This window comes from Homo sapiens, chromosome 3, assembly GCF_000001405.40.
Source record: "Homo sapiens chromosome 3, GRCh38.p14 Primary Assembly".
Lineage (NCBI taxonomy): Eukaryota > Metazoa > Chordata > Mammalia > Primates > Hominidae > Homo > Homo sapiens.
Genome location: NC_000003.12, coordinates 171,230,748 through 171,252,628, shown reverse-complemented (window position 1 = coordinate 171,252,628; position 21,881 = coordinate 171,230,748). Strand labels below are relative to the sequence as shown.

Sequence of the window (21,881 nt, the reverse complement as noted above, 5' to 3'; positions counted from 1 at the left end):
TCCCACTGGTAGGCCACATGTTTGCTTCAGTATTTTACCTTCTAAGCTGGGAGAACAATGCAGAGATAGCACAGCTATATTTTAATATGCATGTTACCCACCTTGAATTAACATAAGGCAGCTTCCTAATGCTATAAAATGGAAATTTATGACACTTTCAGATATAATGTCGTGCACACGATATGAGTTTTTGGGGTGGTTTTGTTTATTCCTCTCTTCTCCTCCCCTCATTTTTAATTACATCTGCCTATATAAGTGCACAGTTAATTTTCATCGGCTGCCCATATAGCTTGAGTTTTCTACTTCTTGTGTTCGGAACACTTATCTATAGTTAAGTTTTGAGGCTTAAAAGTCAGTCATTTATTTAGCACCTACTGTATGCCCAACAGGTTGTAACTAACTGGTGAACATAGGTAAAATGGAGGCATTTTCTCACCCACAAACTGCTTGCAATGAAGATGTATTTATAGGGGAGGGGAAACAATGGCTGAAGGTAACATAGGAGATTGTTTTGGCTGTTAAGTAAAGAGATATGACACACACACACGCACACACACACACACACGCATACCAGATTTTATCTATGCAAATGAACATTTACCTTAGAGAATTGCACGTATTTCCTTCAAAAATGTTGCAATTGCCCTATAAATTTGGGAGCTACTTTCTTTTGGTGATGAAATACACAAACCACAAAATTTCTTTTTGGTCTGTTATCATATTTACTTTCTAACAGTTTTATCCAACTCAATCTTTCACCTTCCTTACCCGTTTAGAATGATATTAAATGTAAAAAATTAAATATACTTTTTAACAAAGATGAGCCATATTATTTTTCTATATTCAAAGGGATGTGATGTAGGTAATTTCAGAATGATTTAAACATCAATGGTATTAGTGCCTAGAGACAACATTCATTTTGAGTACAAGTTTTGCTAGTTTTGCTAAATAAAATTGGGTACATTATTTATATTAAGTATCAAATAGTGTATGTGTGGAATACAGGTTCTTGATAATTAGGCCCCAACTAAGTGCACATAGTCTGTGGGTCTAAGTTAGATGAAAAATGTCCTAATAAGGAGCACCTTGCAATGGCCCTTGCTCTGTGCTTCAGCCCCAGCCAACTTGCCCAGGACAGAGGAACTCATCCCAAGACTGTGGCAGGAAGGTTGATAACTATTATGGCAGTACCTGTTTCTTACTTCTGGGCCTAGCTATCAGTTCATATCATCCAAGATCATTACCCAAACATGTAGACATCATCTCAGGCCTCTAACAACACAAGTAGCCAGCCTCATTTTAGAACACACCAGAGGACTCTTGACATTCTAAATTGTCATCTTTTAATGGACTCATCCCTTCTTCCTTCTTTAGGAAGTTCTCATATCTGTGTCCCGGTCTCTGTTGTCTGTTCCTGCTGTTCTCTGCTGTCTGTATCTGCTGTTCTTCCCAGACCACAGGCAGGTTCCAACATGTGCTTTAATTTAGTCTCATCTCTCATAGGATGTTGCCCACCTTTAACCTGTCTGGTAGTTGATGTGTGTACATGATACCTTTTGTTGGGTTATTCTGGTTTTCCTTCTGCTGTTTAGATGAGAGCTTCAGTCATTCTTTGGTCACTCAAACACTTTCAGACATAATAACACACTAGGCTTGTGACCATTTGGTATTTGGGGTCTTTGAATAATGTACACTGTATTTTGACAGTGGTCTGGGACACCATCAATTGATAATTGTTGCAGCAGAGGATTGCAAGATAAAAACAAATCTCTGTCATGAAAGTCAGAAATCCCAAATGTAGAATAATAATGGAAGTTTGTAGCATTTTTAGAGCACTATATGGTTTACAAAACTTTCACATTAGCTATTTTAGTTCTTATAACGGCCTTAAGTATCATTTCTCTGATTTTAGTGTGGAAACTGAGATCTAAAGAGATCTGAATGATTTCCTCATGGTCACACAGCCAGTGAGTGACAGAACTGAAGGTATCTGACCACAGGGCCTGTGTTGTTCCCACCTCCCACAGCTGAAGGAGTTGGAGTTCCTACTTTTCTCTGAGCTAGCTGCATGGCTTTAGAGAAGTAGGATGGAAGGGGTTAATATCAGTGGACATGAATGTCTCTAATATTCTTCATTTCTAATTTTTTAAGTCTATCAGGTTTGGACACGAAATTTTTAAAGGGCATGATTTAGATTTCTAGGAATCCCTGTTTCTGAATATTTTGGGGGACTAGGGCTTAGGTTACATCTTGGAATTTTTAAGGTACTGGAGCTATTTAACCCAAATCTCACTACCACAAAGAAGCTGTCCATCCATCAACACCATTTTCCCAGGCAAACAAGACTGGGTCAGTCTCTCCAAGGCCTGTCCCATGAAAATTAGAGGGTGCTGGCATTACCAGAAAGCAAAGCTTCCATCCAGGTATGGATGAGCTACTTCTGAGAAGGGAGTAATCAGTATGGACTGAAGTAAATGGGAATTCTTCCTGAACATGTGCCATCAAGCTATAGAGCAGAAGTTGGGTGAAATTTGAAAGGCGGAGTAACAAAGGCAGAAGCATGCAGGCATCGCTAAGAGCTTGGCCTTACCAGCTGGCTGACTTTGGGACTGTGCTTTGCTCTCTTCATTAGTATAATGGGGGTGGTAGTAGCACCTACTTCACATGGGCAATGTGGGGATTAAATAGTAATCATGTAAAACCTTAGCCTGACAAGTTGATATACAGTAAAAGCAAACTATTAGTTACTAGCTCAGTAAGAAACCAGGATAGCTAGGAACAGTTAGGGAGTCTAGGTAGGTTGGGTTGGGTGGGTTGGATTGGTTCCAACTGACAGGGAAAGACGCTACTTGCCTCAAGAGTGGATGAAATAAATAGCTATGGAATAACTGTATATGCTTTCCTGCAGGCTCCTCACTTAATATATATCGTACAAGACAGTAATAGCTAATATCATAGGCAGCAAATTTGACATTTGTTCATTTGTCTTTTTGTAATGAATTATTTGAGGTGAATTATGCTGATGTGTACCACCATCATTCCATTTGAATATGTGTCTTAATGTATAATGTCCTAAGGGCTGCCCAGGACTGGTGAGCAGTAACTCACTGCAGGAGGCCCCTAATTTGCCATTTCCACACCACTGCCCCATCCCTCCAGCCCCCTTAAGTTGGCAGCAGGCCACTCTGTCTTGTCTAGTAATGGTGATGGAGAGCCTGAGTGATTCTTAATCAAAGAAAATGACAACTCCATTTACATTTGTACAGATCTGATATTCACATTTGGATGTATGCCTAAAGGTACCTGGGTTGAAAATATGTGGTGTAACATTGCTTTATCTTCCTAAATCATCCTGACACAGCCTTGGACTTAATAGGGAGTGGGACCCAGAATTATGAAATAATAGCAGACATGCCACTGGAGGCTGAAATTTATGTTTTATGAGATAAAGTGGTTCTTAACTATTTTTGTTGCCATGTTCAATAGCTAGTTACTTTTAATGTTTCTATAATAAGAAAACAGTATGCAAAGATACACTTTAACAGAATTTCATAAGCTCCTACACTATGGGTAATAACCAGAGTTCTGAAAATAAAACCGTTACTTTCACTTGCATTTTAAGTCAGATTGATAGCTTTCTTTCATTTATAACGTCGTCCTAGTCTGAAAGCAAAATCACCATTTTATTATTTCTTATTCAAAGGCTGAAAGAAAAAGGTACCAAGTAAAATGATTTTGTATGACAAGGTCAATAAGACTTGGCAGCAAAGACTTGGATTGAAACTTTAGCCTTGCCATTAACCAGCTGTGATGTTGAATAAGTCATCTAGTCCTTGTCTCACTTGTAAAATGGTATAATATTGATACTATAGTTATATTGCTATTACCTGGAATGACACCCCACTCTTATTATTCACAACCTGGACTTTTTATGACCCAGGTCTGTTTTGCTTTTAAAATCTTAAATGTACAGCATCCCAATCTTAGACCACAGCCTTTGATGCTTCCAGCCTGTACTCCCTCACACCCTACACACCTGTTCTTTGATGTTGACTAAGCCCTCGGGTCTTTTGTCAGTCTCTCAGTCCCCATGAAACTTTAATAACTTGTCTCTCCAGCCTTGGGCCTCATGATTTCTTAGTTTAATCATTTTTAGCCAACATGTACTATCTCCTTTATCCTTTGTTCTTCCATAATATCCACCTTGCAGACCCCTTCCCTAAGGTCAGTCTAGCTGTTTATTTTTCTGCATTTGGGCTGCACAGCTCAACTCAGCACTGCTTAATAATCAACTGTGTATGTACCTGCTCAGTTCCTTCTCCTGTTTTCCCTGGAATAGTTGCTCCCAATCTCCACCACTCTCCTCTCCTCCCTTCCGCTGCCCCTGCCTTCATTGTTCTCCACAGGTGACCTTCTTCTATGCCTTTTAGAAAAACTGGAGCCATTGGACAGGTATCCCTTATTGGGTAAATATCCCACAGGTCTCCCTCTGCCTTTCTTCTCAAACTCATCTTCTTCCCACATTCTTACCTTCTTTCATCCTAACTCAATGTAAAGCTTTTCCCTCTGTGTGAGAGGACTCCTCCTGCTGTTTCTGTTGTCTCCTCCCTTGCCCAGAATTGCCCCTTTCCTCCCAGCCTGCAGTCATCTTCAGCGAGACCTCAGGACTAGTTTCATCTCTTTTCAGACCAAGCAACTTTTTTCTACCCTCTTTGCCTCCACATAGTCACCTCCCATTTTTTCCTTCACTCTATACAAACTGATGTCTGTCCCTGCATTGCTGTGTAAGGTCCCAGGGGCTTCATAATTGCCAGATTGAATGAGCTCTTTTTAGTCTTTATTTCACTTGGTCTTCTGTAGCACTGGCTCTGACCATACCCTCCTTTTTGAAACTCATCACATCCTCCTTCCTGAAACTTTCTCTTTCCTTGATTTGCAGTCATATTGCTGCTTTCTTTTTTCCCACCCGCTGGTTGTTTTTTCTTGGGGTTCATTGCAAGTCCTTCTGTCTCTGTAGACTGACTTGACCTCCTGAAGCCCAGTCTTCTCCACTGGACTAATGGACACATCTGTCTGGATGTCTACCCGGCCCCCGAAAACCTTGTTATGTCCTTGACTGAAGTCACTTCCTGCCTTCTTCATGTTTTCCCGAGTCTTCTGTCTCAAAGAATGGCACTCTTACCCACCTAGATTGTACAAGCCAGAGATGTTATCTTCCTGGAGGACTTCTGTTTCTCTTTCAATTCTCCAAAACACCATCTACATGTCCTGTTGATTCTACTTATTTATTCTTTGGATCTATTCTCTTTTCACTGCCAGCCTTTGTTTCAGATCCTGACTGGATTAATCATCTCCAAATCTTGGTAGAGGACAGATGAACTGCAATCCTGGATCTGAGTGGTAGCGGGTAGGAAGGTGGGCAAGGAGTGGGGAAGATGGTGACAGGGTGACCTTTCTGGAATCCAGTCTGATCTTGTAACTCCCAAGTGTAAACTCTTTAACATCGTACTCCTTACGTGACACAGGAAGCTGTTCTTCATTGGGACTTTGTCTTCTCCAATTGCATATCCTGCTATTTTCTACACACATGTGATGTCATAGCCATACACAGACTTAAGCCCTTCCTCATACATTGGCCAGTGCCTTTACTTGTTGCTTGAAATGTCCTTCCTTGTCTTCCCCCCAGTCTTATTCTTCTGATCTTTTAGGACTGAATTAAAGTCCTACTTTTGCTACCATTTCTGTTCAGCCCAGTCTGAGTTGGTTGCTCTGTGGAACTTTTGGCCATCTGCGCATCATAATATCAACTTCTCAAGCGGCCAGCCTCCTGCAAACCTTGTATGTCCTAGACTGAAGTCACCGCCTGCCTTCTGAAAACTCCATTTTGAGAAATAATAGCTGAAAACTCAAGATCTTGAGGGAAAAACTAGTGCTAGAAAGACTAAGATTGTAAGTGAACTCTGAAAATATTTTCAATCTAATGAAAGCTCTTAGAAATATTTTTTTTGTTTGCTAAAAGGAAGCAATAAAGAAAATGCAGAAGTCAAATGAGATGCTGCCTATGTTAAATAATAGATACTTTCAACAAGTCATCTAACTTCTTTGTGCGTTTCCTTATCTGTAAAATGAGGGTAACAGCATAATGGGCTGTGATGAGTTAATGTGTGTAAAATGCTTATAACAGAACCTGACATAGTAGATATTAGCTATTAATAATAATTTTTCATTTACCAGCTACAAATCTTACAGACTATCTATTATTTCCAGCCCTCCTATTTTTGCTGAGGTGATTAGAATCTGTTTTGTTTTGAAGTATGAATAGAAAGGCATTTTTTTTTTTTTATCTGGTTCTCTACCCAAGTGTCAGTGGGATCTAATTTATTACTCATGGTTGTGGAGCCATCTTAGTTTCCACTGTTGTCTCAAAGGTGTATCTTTTTCTTTGACTTGAGAATGGCTTTGGGATTCTATCTAAGCAAATTAGGCTCAGGGAATAAGGCAGAACAATCCAACCTTTCTCACCCTCTCCTGCAGCACACTCGTCTTCCTCCCTCACTCACACATAGCTCCTTTCCCTCTATCTGAAGCTGCACCCTCCAGGCCTTCTTTGCTTTCCTTCCTGTGTGTTTTCAAGGCTGCCCTACACAAGCATCTACTTCCGTTCTTCATCTGCTCCCCTCCCCCAAGTCTGTCTGTCTGTCTGTCTGTTTCTCTCTCTTTCTCTCTCTCTTATTTCCAATAGGATTTGATGTTGATTTACTTAAATCAAAATAGTCATAATACCGAAAATGTATAACAAAAGAAAGTCATGATTATAAGTTCCATGAGGGCAAGAAATAGCATTTTATTCAGACCTGCATTTGAGGCATTCAGTAGTGAGTAAATTCTTGGACAAAGGAAAGTTACCAGAAGCAAATGAGATGATCTATAGAAAAGAAATATGTAAACTGTAAAAATTAGTACACAGATTTTTAAAATCAATCTATTCTTCCCCTCTTCCATTTGATAATGGTAACACCTTGATTATACCAAAATCTTGAGGATCTATTTTTTTTTTTTTTTATTGTTAAAGTATCTTAAAAAGATGTCCCAACCTTCCTGGGTAACTCTGGCCCTTTAATCACCTTCACAAATCTACTTTATAATAAAATTTAAAAATTTATGGTTTAAATGTTGTTTCTTTTATTTTTAGTATGATAAGGTGATCAGCTGTTCTGGTGACATTCATGTATTTGTATGTTATTACATGTTTTTTTATCAGCCCATTCCTGAAGCTATGAATGTCTTGACAGTTTTACCCAATTGTGCTGTTTATCAAATCATTTCAGATCATGCTCAAAGCATTCTCTAAATTCTCTAACTTTGATTTAGGTGGTGGAATTTGTTTTAATTACATCCTTACCTAAGTTGAGTGTTGAAGAATGAAACTTCAAAGTCTTTGTTTTATAGAGCCCAAGTCCCTACACAGCTGGCACCTTTATACACAATGGAGATAGAAGTACAACACGTCTGAACTACTGCATCCTTTATTCAGTCTTCTTTTTTCCAATCATTTGCTTTAATACTGTATTTCTTGAGGGTTTCTAAGAGTATTGGCATCCAGGAAGAAATTGCTCATGAATCATTATTGGTATAGTTAAATGCAAAATAGCAGTTATGAAGTTTATACAAATCTTTTTCAGTAGCTTCATTGCTCCTTTTTCATAATCTTGTAGTAATTTCAAGCCTTTTGTTGAAATCTAGACAAGCCCTATGATATACTCCTTATTAAAATTATTAAATTTAAATAATTTTAATAATAAATATATAATATTTAAAGAGAAGCAGTAAGTTGTCATCCTATCACTATTGAGTTGATTTTTCTAATAAAGTATATCAAATATGGGTGTGTCAATTAATGAAATACAATAATGAAGTTCATTTCTATCTCACCTTTGTAACATAGAGGCCGATGGATTAAATTTCGAGTTCAAAAACATGATAGTTTTCTTAATAGTATATTTACTTAAAGCCATGGTAGAAATAGTATGTGACCAGATGAAAAGTATGTACTGGCTAATGTATTAGCCAGTACAAAATAAATTGGAATGCAGCAAATCCCTTTTTTGCTATCATTTATTAAGCTCTTTGAGAAAAGTGGTTTTTTCCCCCAGAATAAGTGAGTATGTTTGAGAAGTATTAGAATCCTGATTTTTTTGAGTAAACGAGTTCTCTCTTGAGAATAGTATAGCACTAAGTAAGCACAAAGTTAAAATTTTATTTCTGGCCGGGCGCAGTGGCTCACGCCTGTAATCCCAGCACTTTGGGAGGCCGAGGTGGGTGGATCACGAGGTCAGAAGATCGAGACCATCCTGGCTAACATGGTGAAACCCCGTCTCTACTAAAAAATACAAAAAATTAGCCGGGCGTGGTGGCGGGCGCCTGTAGTCCCAGCTACTCGGGAGGCTGAGGCAGGAGAGTGGTGTGAACCCGGGAGGCGGAGCTTGCAGTGAGCCGAGATCGCACGCCTGCATTCCCACCCCGGCGGGCGACAGAGCGAGACTCTGTCTTAAAAAAAAAAAAAAAAAACTATTTCTGTCTCTAAAAAAAACAAAATTGCAGTCCTCTTCAATTGTTTTCTGCACTTGAGCTTTTTCTCGAAGGACCTTACAAAGTAAATTAAGGAAGAATACTCTGGATCTAACATCGATGGTTCTTTCTCAATGAGTTAATAACGGTGGATTTCTTTTCTCACGATTTTTCTTTAATTATTATGTTTCCTAAAACCACATATATTGAAGATTTTCTTTTAGTGGTGTCTTCCCCCAAATAAGATGCCATGAGTTGATCTTGGCCATAATTGATTTGGAGAAAGCCTCTGAAAATGGAACCAACAGGGAAAAATAAAAATACATATTTTTATAAACCTTCCTCTAGGAGTAAAATCCATTAAAAATGAAGCTAAATTTGTTGTGTGAGAAATGTAAATAATTTAATAATAAAATCGACTTAAGACTCAGGTCCCTCAGAAATGAAGACAGTGCTTTATATATAATAGCTGCTCAGTAAGGAGTCTATGAATTTAACTTTTAATTAACAGGGCTACCAACAGGTTCAACCCCAGAAGATGCCACTTTTATAGAAAACAATGGGAAGGGTGCTTTTTGGAGTTGTGTAACAATGTGGCTTGTGAGTTGGATAAGAAGGTGTTTTTTTTTTTTAATTTACTATAAATATTATGTTCATTTTATGTGAAATTAGATTTTCTTCATAAGACCTTTCTTTGTAAAAACTTGACCACATATCAAAGGGCACTGAAATCCATTTCAACTTACAGAAATGATGCCCTTTCAGGAAATTTTTATTGGCTGCCCTTTTCCTTAATAGTGTAATAGTGTATGTATTTATGATATGTTGTGAATCCCTGGGCAGGAGTTGTCAAGGTTAGACAACTCCACTGAAAGTGGAGTTCGAAAGAACTCACCTTATCCGGACACTCCTGTTTGCATTTCAGTTCTGGAAGGGAAAACAGGCATAACAAGTATTTCTATTTCTCTTCTTCATGAAAACCATGAGAGCTAAAAAGATTTGCCTAGAGCCTTATTGAAAAATTGAAAACTGATCAAATTCTAAATAGAACTTATGTATTTTTACTCCTTTAGCTCCACTGCATTTATTATTTCCAAAGATTTTTTTATGGGTTCTGAATTTGTTTCCTAAAATGTATTCTTCTCAAAAAGATTTTTTTATGTTTAAAAATGTAAAAACAGAAATAACATGTTTAAGAAGTATAATTCAATCTTTTAAAGCATCATATGTATAATTGCTACATATTTTTCAGTACTCAAGCCCATGAACCGTTGAATGCTCATCAGTGGTTAATAAATATTGTGTTATTATTGGCATTAAATTACCATCAGTGGTTTATTAAATCTAAGACAGATTTTCTGGTTAAGAGTTCCTGGGATATCATGAGGTATATTTTAATGACTAAATCCAGCAATTCAGTTATTTTGCTTATATGAGCGCCAATTTTATTTTCTTAATGTCCCTCATGCAGACAGAAGCCACCAGTGAAATAAACCATTAATGTTGCAAACACAAGACTGCTGAGTTAAATGATAAAAAAAAAAAAATGCAGATTGATACTGATCTTTTGGATCCTAGGCAAGTACCTAAGACCCAACCAATGTGATTGAAATCAGATACTGGCAACTAGGTTGAAATTAGACTTGATATTTTCAGATCAGGTGCTGTTAGAAGAGATCCTGCTTATGAGTCTTTGACCATATGCCTACACCTATTTCACAATTGAAAATGAGGAAGAGGAGGAAGGAAGGCAATTTTCGTGTTTTGTGCAGGTGTCCTTAGCTGACTGAGGTCTTAACAGTTTAGGCAAATTTTCCGTCTTTCCATATTTATGTCAGGGAAAGAGGATCAAATGTTCTCTTTGGTTCAAAAAGCACAGCCTCATTCTTTTTTTTTTTTTTAATTTAAGTTCTAGGGTACAAATGCACAACATACAGGTTTGTTACATATATATACATGTGCCATGTTGGTGTGCTGCACCCATTAACTTGTCATTTACATTAGGTGTATCTCCTAATGCTATCCCTCCCCCTTCCCCCCACCCCACAACAGGCCCCGGTGTGTGATGTTCCCCTTCCTGTGTCCAAGTGTTCTCATTGTTCAATTCCCACCTGAGTGAGAACATGTGGTGTTTGGTTTTTTGTCCTTGCAATAGCTTGCTGAGAATGATGGTTTCCAGCTTCATCCATGTCCCTACAAAGGACTTGAACTCATCCTTTTTTATGGCTGCATAGTATTCCATGGTGTATATGTGCCACATTTTCTTAATCCAGTCTATCATCGATGGACATTTGGGTTGGTTCCAAGTCTTTGCTATTGTGAATAGCACAGCCTCATTCTTAACTGCTACCTGTAAGGTAGATCTGTTGGCTGCTGCTAGCAGAAATATATCTTAGAGATGCAGTTACCTCTGCTTCTATACTTTATATTGCTAATATTTAAATAAAGCATATATATTTACAGAAATAAATCTTCCTAGGTGGAAAATATATTCTGATTATCAGGCATTTTAATTTACACTTCTGTTCTTTATTCTTTAGAGAGAATTTAAATAGAATTTTAAAAGAGAGAGACAATATCTTATTGTTTGCTTGACTTATATGCAAGGCCAATATGAAAGGAAAATACAACCTGGAAAAATCTTGGGTTTTTTGAGCCTCAGTTTTAAAGTCTGATAACAGTACTTGTTCTATCAGAGTTGTTATGCCTTCAAGTAAGAAGTGCTATGAATTTTTAAAAAGAGAACAGAAGTGCTGTAATCCCAGCACTTTGGGAGGCTGAGGCAGTTGGATCACCTGAGGTCGGGAGTTTGAGACCAGCCTGACTAACATGAAGAAACCCTGTCTCTACTAAAAGTACAAAATTAACTGGGTGTGGTGGTGCGCACCTGTAATCCCAGCTACTCGGGAGGCTGAGGCAGGAGAATCTCTTGAAACTGGGAGGTGGAGGTTGCGGTGAGCCAAGATCGTGCCGTTGCACTCCAAACTGGGCAACAAGAGCAGAACTCTATCTCCAAAAAAAAAAAGAAAAGAAAAAAAAAGAAACAGAAGGACTTGGAAAAGTGTTTCCACAAAGAGGTTAGGAATTCATTCATACAGCACATATTGATTGAGTACCCACCATGCGGGCACTGATCTGCTACTGAAGACAGAATAGTGAACAAGACAAAGAGAAGCCGCTGCCCTCAAGACATTTCCCTCCTAGAGCAGGAAATGCCCGATACTCATGATAAATAAATAAACTGTATAGTTTGTTAGATGATCTGTAAAGCAGGGAAGGAGGATAATAAGAGTTAAAGTGGAGTTGAAGTTTTAGATATAGCAGCCAGAAAAAGACTATTGGAGAAGAGTCATTTGAGACTCTTTGACCCATTCAAGTCAAGACCTGAAGGCAGCGAGCATTCAAGTGTGGCAGAAGGAAGAGACATGTAAAGTCCCCATGGTACATTGGAGGAAAGGGAGAAGGAAACTAGACCTGCAATGTGGGCGAGTCGGGGACTGGGGGGGAATAGTAGGAGAAGAGAACAGAAATGGAACCTCAATCACACTAAAAGCACTGTGATAACACCATTTACCCAGCCACTCTACCAAGTGTATCTACACATGTAATTTAATCCTTACTGCAACCTAGTGAGCTAATTGTTTTGTATCTGTTCTACACAGTTAGAGGTTCTAACTCTAGACCCACTAATTAGTCCAAGGGAACCTCATACCTCTTTCAAAGCCTTTCCTCGTAACCTCCACGTCCTCTATAGGGCCTGCAGAGCTCTAGCTACAGATAGTCAATTCTCTCCTAGACTATGTGAAATACCTGCTCGAGAAGAGAAGATTTCCAAGAGTCAGCAAGATGCTGTGCTTACCCGTCTCACGATCCCTGATGAGTCGACCTAAACTGGAGGCATGAAAATGTGGTGGAAAGAAGAATTTCACTGGAGTCAGGGAAAACTCACCCTCCTTGAGACGAAGCTACCTGATAGGTCACAGTTGGATCGCAGCTAAATTTAACTATAAATCAATGCATTTACTAACTAGTCAGCTACCCTCCCATTCAGGCCTACCCAGAGCTTGGGGCAGATCATATTTACTTAAAACAGCCCTTGTTCTTTCTCAGTGTGTCATCATATTTCACCCCCGCCCCTCCCCCAAGATTTCAGACAAAAGTGTTCTCAGCATTATTGTCCTGATGGGAGAGTACAGGTTTCTGAGAGGCACTTGACTACTTACTCCCAGCAACTAGCTTCCCAGGGATGGATGTGTTTGCTGACAAATTGCTGTAGTCTGTGATGGCCATCACTTTGAAGGATTATGAATATGTAAGAGCCATCCTGCATTTATAAAACAACTTTCAGTTTTCTAATGTCCTTTTTGTAATATGCAGGTCTTTGCTCAGAAATCACAATCGCAAATGCAGTCTGTGCTGACACAGAAGACATCTGTTGGAGGGGGAGAGATATTTTCAGCCTTTGCGGAGATCTGGGTCTTCTGCTATTGCAGGTGGAACAATTAATAGGCCATAATTATTTCTTTCATACACTGTGGAGAGTCTATATTTGGATGTTATTCTTTGACCATCTTGAGTTCTTTAATCCTTAAGTATCTAAAAGGTGGTGAATGGTGTCAGTGATATAGAATAATGCTGCTCATTTATTTTTTCTAAAAAATTGAATTTTGCTTTCCTTATTTCTTGGAAACAGATCGCTTACAGCAATTGCAAGATTCCTATATCCCTGCATTTGAAGAACTTATGTTGGATAAAGGCAAACACCTTTATTCTCTTGTCATTGACTGTTACATTTTTAGCTTAAAACTTCACATGACTTATATTTTAATCAAACAAAATAATATATTTCTGAATTGAGTACCTGATAACTTAAAACTATAAGTAAACCTTTAAGAAGGAAAGAACACGTAGTATGAAGAGTTATTAAGATGTAAATATTGTTTTAAAATGAAAATAGGATATTCTTTCTAAAATTAACATAATTAGCCAGAATTGTGTCCAGTTATAATAAACCAAATTCCATTTAGTCCTAATAATACTTCATTAGGTTTTTTAAAAATTTAGAATATGCTGCTTAAATGGGAAAGTCTTAGAATTGGCCACTCAAAAGCCAGTTGAAAAGTGGTCTCAGAAGTCACTGGGTATAGTATTGCCTGTGTTCTTAAAGAACATACATTTTTGGGATTTAAGAAAAGATTTTACATGTAAGATTCTACTAAGCAAGGAAAGAACAATTCGTCGTCTGCTGTGCCTCCCTTAAGCCATGGGAGATCCCTGAGGTCAAGACCTTATCATTTGATCTTTGTAGTATTAGTGCCTATTGCAGAATCTGACATTTCATAGACTCCAGCATTCATTGAGCACCTATGAAATGTCAAATTCTTTTAAAACATGGTTTCTCAACCTTGACTCCATTGACATTTTAGACCCAATTATTGCTTGTTGGGGAAGGGTGGTGTCCTGTGCATTATGAAGATTTAGTAGCATCCCTGACCTCTACCCACTAATTGTCAGTAGCTGCAGTCATAACAATCAAAAGATGTCTCCAGACAACATCAGATGTCCCCTGGGAAGCAAAGTTGCCCCGCTGAAAACCACTGTTTTAAAGGGTTTGAGAGGGAGAATTTACATTTTTTGGGATTAAAAAAAAACTAGTTTTTAAATTCTCTCTCCTCCATATGTATATATTTACAATGTAGTATATTTGTATATATACAATATTATCATTTTTAATTTTTTTTTTTTTAGAGATAGGATCTCACTCTGTCCCCCAGGTTGGAGTGCAGTGGCACAATCATAAAATTCAATTTTTTTGAATTTTATGAATTTTTTTGAAAGATTATGAATATGTAAGAGCCATCCTGCATTTATAAAACAACTTTCAGTTTTCTAATGTCCTTTTTGTCCTCTCACCCTCCTTCCCAGAGAACAATATGCAGGTCTTTGCTCAGAAATCACAATCGCAAATGCAGTCTGTGCTGACACAGAAGACATCTGTTGGAGGGGGAGAGATATTTTCAGCCTTTGCGGAGATCTGGGTCTTCTGCTATTAACCAATATGGACCAGGTTCTCCTTTTGTAATGGGACTGTTAAAGAATGTTGCTGTCTCCAGTCAGATGACGTCAATGGGGATGGTAGGTTTACTTCTAGGTAGATCTAGTTTAAGTTTAAAAGGAGTGCAAGTACATACAAGAGCATACTGCAGCCTCAAACTCCTGGGCTCAAGTGATCCTCCCACCTCGGCAGAGTAGCTGGGACTACAGGTGCATGCCACTAGGTCTGGCTAATTTTTAGATTTTTTATAGAGACGGGGTCTCACTATATTGCTCAGGCTGGTCTCGAGTTCCTGGCTGCAAGTGATCCTCCTGCCTTGGCCTCTCAAAGCACTAGAATTATAGGCATGAGCCACCACACTCAGCCTATATATGTTTTAGGTATATAAGTTTTAGATATAATTTTACCAACATACATGTTATGTGTATGTATAATAAACATACACATTCTTACAGAGGAGACATTTGGCTGGGAGTGCTCATTGTAGTCTTTTTTTTTTTTTCCGTGGGAATCATTATGACTCCAGTAAGTTGCTCACTAAATTTCATCTGTCACTGTGTTCCCGTTCAGATACAACTAAAGCCTATTGAAATTGATTTTTGTGTCAGTAACAGAGCGGGGATTCAGTAAGAACCTGAAAGCTTCCCTTTCATTACTAGTCTTTTTCCCCCATATTACTTTAGATTTGGTGGGCCCTAATTATATTCCAGTCTTTTCCCTGCTGACATTTCTTTTGTTTTAATTAAAACTGCTGGAGGTTTGAGGACACCGTGGGAGAGGGTTTATTCATCAACAGCCCAAATAAAGAGCCAAATGGGTCCCGATTTGTGTTACTGCCACCCCAAGAATGATAGCTGGGAACACTGTGGTCCTTTGCCTTTGTTTTTTCTCATGACACCAGTGTGGTCCTTTTTCTTTCTGAACAGGAGACTGCTCCTGCTGCTGCTGCAGAAGTCTATTAAGTGAATGAGACAGGACTGTGGGTGGACTGGCTTCCTATTGAAGCCATACATTAGGCAAAATGAAATGCAGCATTGCCTTTTTATTATTATTATCATCTATTTCCCCCAACCCCCAGCCTATCGTGTCTGTGGTCCAAAGCCAACCCTGCCCACTCCCAATCACCTGGTTGTAAATCTCAGACAATAGGGGCCAGCTTCGGGCTGCATTTGGCAACCCTGTGCAGGGCCAGGGGAGAGGATGTAATATATCTTCTTTATCTGCAGCTAGGAGGTGGGATGGAGTGAGCAAAGAGTCTGCCAGAGGTCCTGAGGGGAAAGACAGAGTTGCCTCATAAAGTAGTCCTTAGAGAGGGAGCTATTGATTTGAAATCTTTAAAAATGAACCCTGTTTCTCCAAGAACAGTTGCATCGTCCTACCTCTAGTTAGTACCAGCTCGGGAAAAGAGGAGGCAGAGGTGAAAGGATGTTGGCAGGGCAGCGTCTGGACCTTGCTTTTCTCTTGATGCATCTTTCTCTCCCTGACCCTTTCCTCTGGTAAGCTGTTGATTATGACATGCAGAATGCTAATGTCTCTAGTGAGCCTCCAGGGCCTATTTCAGTGACCTAGTTTTCTTAGTTAACACTTGGAAAAGAAAACAAAAACAGAACCTTGTTGAGCAAAACACTCACATCAGATCACATAGCTTTCCCCTCCAGTTAGGACACCGTAAGCCATTCTTATGGTCCTCTTTTTTCTTAAGCTTCTGACACGCGGAAGTAGACATTTCCCCAAATTCTATCAAGATTCTCCCAGGTGTAGCCCCTGATGGATCACAGGAATCTCTGTTCATTGTGATTTGTGGCAATTTACAAGGTTCACTAGGCCTAGAAACTTGATGTTTTCCAGTGTGATTTGGCACCTACCCTTTACAAGACGCTGTCCCAGGCAATGTTAGAGGATTAAACAGGTTTAAGGTGGAGTTCCTGCCTTTGAGGGGCTTTCTGTTCTAGTATGTAGCAGCCATGTGCCTGGAGGACTGCGTTTTAAGGGCATTAGGGACTTAGGGCACCCAGAGGAGAGAGAAGTGGGTTCCAATACAATTCACACAGGCTATTTTAAGTTATTAAGGGCTATACACCCTCACATTTAACTTTTTCCAGGTTGCATCAAGAACCTTTTTTGTGTCTTCAGAGGGTTATTGACCCTTCTACTAAGTTCATGTATGTAAAAATACTTTTTCCTGGATTCTCAGATTTCATGGAATACTAAAATCTCACTCTATAAACCCCCCCCCCACCAAAACAAAACAAAACAAAAACAACAACAACAACAAAAACATATGGTTGTTAACTTTTAAAAGTTAAAAACATTTCATTAATGGGCATTTTAACACCAAAAATAAGAATCCTGCTTAAGTTGAATACCTCTTGTTTTCTGAAAAAATCACCACTGGGTCCTTATTTTTCACCTTTTACTGGAGTTGTATGTAAACTTTACCTTGGACTAGTGTTCAGGTACCAGGGTTTTGAATGATGTTTATAGCCCCAGGTGCCATTCTTGGTTCAGGGGATAGGGAAGGCTATTGTGCTGTGTGGGGAGGAGTGGGATATTTGGAGAGGCTGAAGAGTTGGCTGCATGTACATACTTTGTCGCCATCTTTTGAGCCCCCACACCTAGGGGGGTTAGTCCTCCCAGAAATGAATGTATGAAAGCCACAGATGAGATTGGGCGTGGTGACTCATGCCTGTAATCCCAGCACTTTGGGAAGCCAAGGTGGGCAGATCACTTGAGGTCAAGAGTTCAAGACCAGCCTGGCCAACATGGCGAAACCCTGGCTCTACTAAAACTACAAAAATTAGCTGGGCATGGTAGTGGGAACCAGTAATCCCAGCTACTTGGGAGGCTGAGGCAGGAGAATCACTTGAACCCAGGAGGTGGAGATTGCAGTGGGCCGAGACAGCGCCACTGTACTCCAGCCTGGGCAACAGAGTGAGACTCCGTCTCAAAATAAATAAATAAATAAATGAATAAATAAACAAATAAAAAATTTTTAAAAAGCCACAGATGATTGTGGTAATTCTGTGGTATAAATTAGATGAGAGCCAGTGAGAGCTTTGGTTTTGTGCTCATTTTTTGGGTTGAGAGGAGGTTACTGGGAAGTGTGTTCTTGGCGCAAGGCCCTGGCCCAGAGGCTGGCTCGTCTGCTTTTGAGTTCTCGTCACCCCTCATCTTGTCTGCCTCGTCACTGCTGTCACTTCAGCTGTGCGTGTCTTTCCTGGGTACAGGCATTAGGCTCCCTGCCACGGAATCTGCATACATTAACTATTGTCTGCTAAAAATTGTGACTATTTGATTTTTTTCCCTTTAAGCATCCATTTTGATTTATAAACTGAGCCAAGCTGGCAGCCAGGAAGACTGAAGAATCCTAGTTTCTAACAAAGAAAAATGAAACCCAGTCTCTTCTTCCCCACTTCATGTCTGTGAGCAAGTCTCAGCTTTCAGTTGGCCCACCCCTGAACAGTCTTGAAAGCAATCCATTTTCTGTCACTCAGAGGTGCCAAGCAAAGGAATTCACAGTGAGTGGTGTTGAGATGGAGAGTAATTGCTTGGGCACCATCCTGAGTCGGTACCTTGCTTTACCTCTGCCACAAGTCTGGGAGCCATAAAGTCTGAATTACAGTTCTGCACATATGGAGAGCAGGGTTTTTAAGCCACCAACGAATGGCACATGTAGGCCAAGGAAACACAAAGGCTCCATTTAACCTGGGGAAGACTTAGGAATGGACATCATGCCAAGTATGCTCTGTGAACATTCATGTTACTTGATCATAAGGATCTTTGGAGTCTTTTCATAAAGTTGTCTTGTCTACCTCTTTGCCTCAAGACATGTTGTATCAAGGAAAGGTAGCATTCCTAAAGATGTCCAGATAGATATTAACTAACCTTTAGTCTCAAATGGGAGTGGAAAACCAGAGTTCATGTTTGCCATCATCATGACAGCTCAGAAGTAAAGCTAAAACCAATTTCTGGTTTCTCTGTGATCTATGGAAAGGGAAAGTAAACTGGTCTCTCTGTAGAGTTTAAAAGAACTTCATCCACTTAAAATCATCTTCCAGGTTTTTATTTATGAGCAAAATAATTATAATTCCTGCTTACAACCCCACCCTATCTGGTCCCATACACTCTGTGGCTGGGGAAATGTGGGGGTAAGGGAAACAGATGTAGATATGTGGATGGTACCAAGAACCCAAACGCAACCCTCAAATTTCATGCCTTCATTCAGTCTGTTTTTCAGCAAATATTTGCTGAGTGCCTGCTGTGCCAAGCACTATGAAGGCACAAGGGAAATACATATCCAATCTATTCCCAAGTCCTCTTCATTTGGCCTCCTGTCCATTCCCACATTCTCCACCCTTTCCATCCTAATCCAAGTGGCCATCATCCTTCACCTTTCTCCAGGAAGGAGCATGACCTTGGGTGAGGTGGCTCTTTGGCTAAGGGCCATTCCCAGAGAGGGACCTGACAGAGTTGTCAGGTACTTCAGTCTGTACTCGAGAATCTTGGTGGCACACTGCAGCATCTATGATTGATACACAGATGATAGATAGATAGATAGACAGACAGACAGACAGATAGAATAAGAACAGGTGAGCCATAAAACAACAGCTGCCATTACTACATATTCTACATTCTGCTTTTTTTTTCCATTTTGATTTGATTTATTTTCATGGTTCTGGTGATGCGTGTTTTGAAAAAAAAATCACAGTGCTGGTTATGATCAGTGGGGTTGGGATAGTATTCTGTGGAAACACAAAGGTGGAGTACTCATTTGCAATTAGGAAATTGAAGACGACTTCCTCAATAAAGTGGAGATTAAATCTAAGGTAGATAGGAAGGAGAATGAGCCACTCTCTACCTGTGTGTGAGCTTCCTTTGGCAGGAGGATGAAGACAGTGGGGGGAATGTCTGAATTTTCAACAAAGATGGTTTGCTTGAGTGCTTTGCCAGAAATAAATGTATGTGGGTGACCTAGAAATGAAAGTATTCTGTCTTCCAGGCTAGCCTTAGGCTAGCAGCTCAAAAACCCTCTTGCTCTTCCTTAGAAAATAACAACAATAACAAAAGTGAAGCTTATGTGGCTGTTAAAACAAAACTGTTGTTTTCTCTTGCATTCATTTTAGGGAGGAGTTGAAGGAGTAGGGTATTGTATTAATCGTACTTGAGTGATTTGGATTTCACCTCGATGTTGAATTATTTTACATAGAACAAGGATCAGCATAGTTTGTTGCCTCAAAAGTGAGGGAGAAGAAGGGAAGAGGGGAGCAGAGTAGGTTCTTAAGTGTGTCTGAGGACCAGGCTGAGCCGTGACCCCAAGGCTCTGCCTCCCTTGTTTTGATGCCTTTCTTGTTCCTTTCTGGTGGATAGGCTTTTTATGCTTTAGGACATTATCTGACATTAGGCTTGGGGTCCTATCAGAATATCAGTTTTACTTTTCTAGATTTAGCATGTTCACTAGCTTTTGCCATTATTGGTTATTTCTGTAGGAAAAAAATAATTCAGTTCATCCTTTTATTAAAAAATGACTCAGCAACTGCAATCTGATAGGACATTTTCTCTAATTTTCATGGAGAATTTTTTTAAACTCTTTTATCTCCTTTTAGAAGTTTTTTCTTTTCAGAATTTAATTTTTAGTTCTTGGTTGCACATGTGGTTTTTTTTTTTCATTCATACATTTGTCCATTTTAGAGATGGGATCTTGCTGTGTTTCTCAGGCCAGCCTCGAACTCCTGGAGTCAAGCCATCCTTCTGCCTCAGCCTCCCAAGTAGCTGGGTGTACAGACGTGCAACACTGCACCAGCTTGAAACATGTATTTTAGATCTAAATTTAGATGGTGTCTATATTTGTATTTTAAATTTCTCTTATAAGGAAAAATAAATTAGAATTGGGGTACTGTTACATTTTCCCTTCAAAATTCTATTGCAATAACATCCCCTTCGTTGCACTGCCCCCAAATTTAAAAAATAAATTATTAAAAATCCTATGTGAAGCAAAGATGACTGGTTCGATATTTAGTTCCAGTTAAGTAAAATATTAAAAGTTTGTTTTAAAAATTATTTTAAAAGTTTGGCGATAGAAATTTGTGATTTAGGAGCTGGATGGTAGAAGTGGGATGGAGGAGAAAGTGTCCTAAGTTTAGCTGTGAAGTTTTGGCCTGATCTCTAAAAGGAGAGGATTGGGTTAGGCTCTTAGGGGCCCCTTCCTACTCAATTCATTTCTGATTTTATAAAGTTACCTCTTTAAAAACTGTCTTACAATGACTGTGCCTCAGGTTCCTAGTGAGCTTTAGGTCGGCTGACTCCCTGCCATTCCCTCCAAGTCTGCCTTAATCTGGATCATAACTTGGCCTGATGTTCTCTGGGGATAGAAAAGGCAGCTCATGCTGGGCAAGTTCCTTCATGGCCCTTTCCTGATCAGCAAAATGTGACAGCTCAGCATCCTTCCTGCTCTAGCGCGTGGGGATACCTTTGCCTGGGAGTGATCTGAGGCTGCTAATTGTTCCACCTCCAGGATCTCATGTAAGCCCAAACTGCCATCCCAAGGTGTATTTTTCAGTTAGCTGTCAGACCCACTGAGAACTGCTGTTTCAGCCGGGAAATGAAATTTAAAATTTAAAGTGTTGTTTTCTTTTCCAGTGTTACCTTCCATCATTTTCATAGTGGCTACTTAAAAAAACAAAAAAAAAAACAAAACAACAACAACAACAAAACAAAAAACAGTAGCAACAACAAAAGCCAAGTATACTAGGTTTTTTAAAAGAGCTGATATCTTATTTATTCCAACAAGAACTGCCCACTGCCTGTGTTCGAAATGTAACACACGTCACTTTTATCCCGCCTCATCTCTGGCCTTGAGCCAGTACCATGGGCTGGCTCAGCCCTAGGCTGCTGATGGGAAGAACTAGGTGTTGAGGTGTCCTTGTAACAAATTATTCACTCAAAGAGGATTTCCTGCTTCTTAAGGACTTAAAAATCTACTGCAAAGTCTCTCAAAGTGCATGCTGGCAGACATGCCTCAGGGACTCCCTCAGGAATGAGGGGAGTCGGGAGGCAGAGCAGACTAGAGTTGGGCAGTCAAGTCCCTGCTTGAACCAAGGGAGTTCACTTAAGGTTTTATTTGGGGAAAAGGTTGGGCTGCAAATGGAGCCACAGGGGAAGGAAGGGAGAGAGGAAGGAAGACCAGAGAGGGAGAGAGGGATATTAATCCTTTGAGGTCCTTGGAATAATACACACAGGGACATGTTCATTGATAGACAGA

General features: G+C 39.6%; 1 protein-coding gene across 8 annotated transcripts in view, besides 2 other annotated features; it reads left to right on the top strand.

Annotated features, from left to right (window-relative positions):
• TNIK (TRAF2 and NCK interacting kinase) overlaps positions 1-21,881 on the top strand; it is a 401,995-nt gene that overhangs the window by 207,780 nt on the left and 172,334 nt on the right. The window lies entirely within an intron of this gene.
• Positions 1,451-1,530: an enhancer, noted in NCBI's record as "active region_20809". NCBI's record gives its function as "activates an Ori minimal core promoter by ATAC-STARR-seq in GM12878 lymphoblastoid cells {active_cell/tissue: GM12878}" and the evidence as "EXISTENCE:reporter gene assay evidence [ECO:0000049][PMID:35858748]".
• Positions 17,435-17,624: a silencer, noted in NCBI's record as "fragment chr3:170952794-170952983 (GRCh37/hg19 assembly coordinates)". NCBI's record gives its function as "represses an EF-1alpha promoter that drives an FKBP-Casp9 reporter gene in an ReSE screen in K562 erythroleukemia cells {active_cell/tissue: K562}" and the evidence as "EXISTENCE:reporter gene assay evidence [ECO:0000049][PMID:32094911]".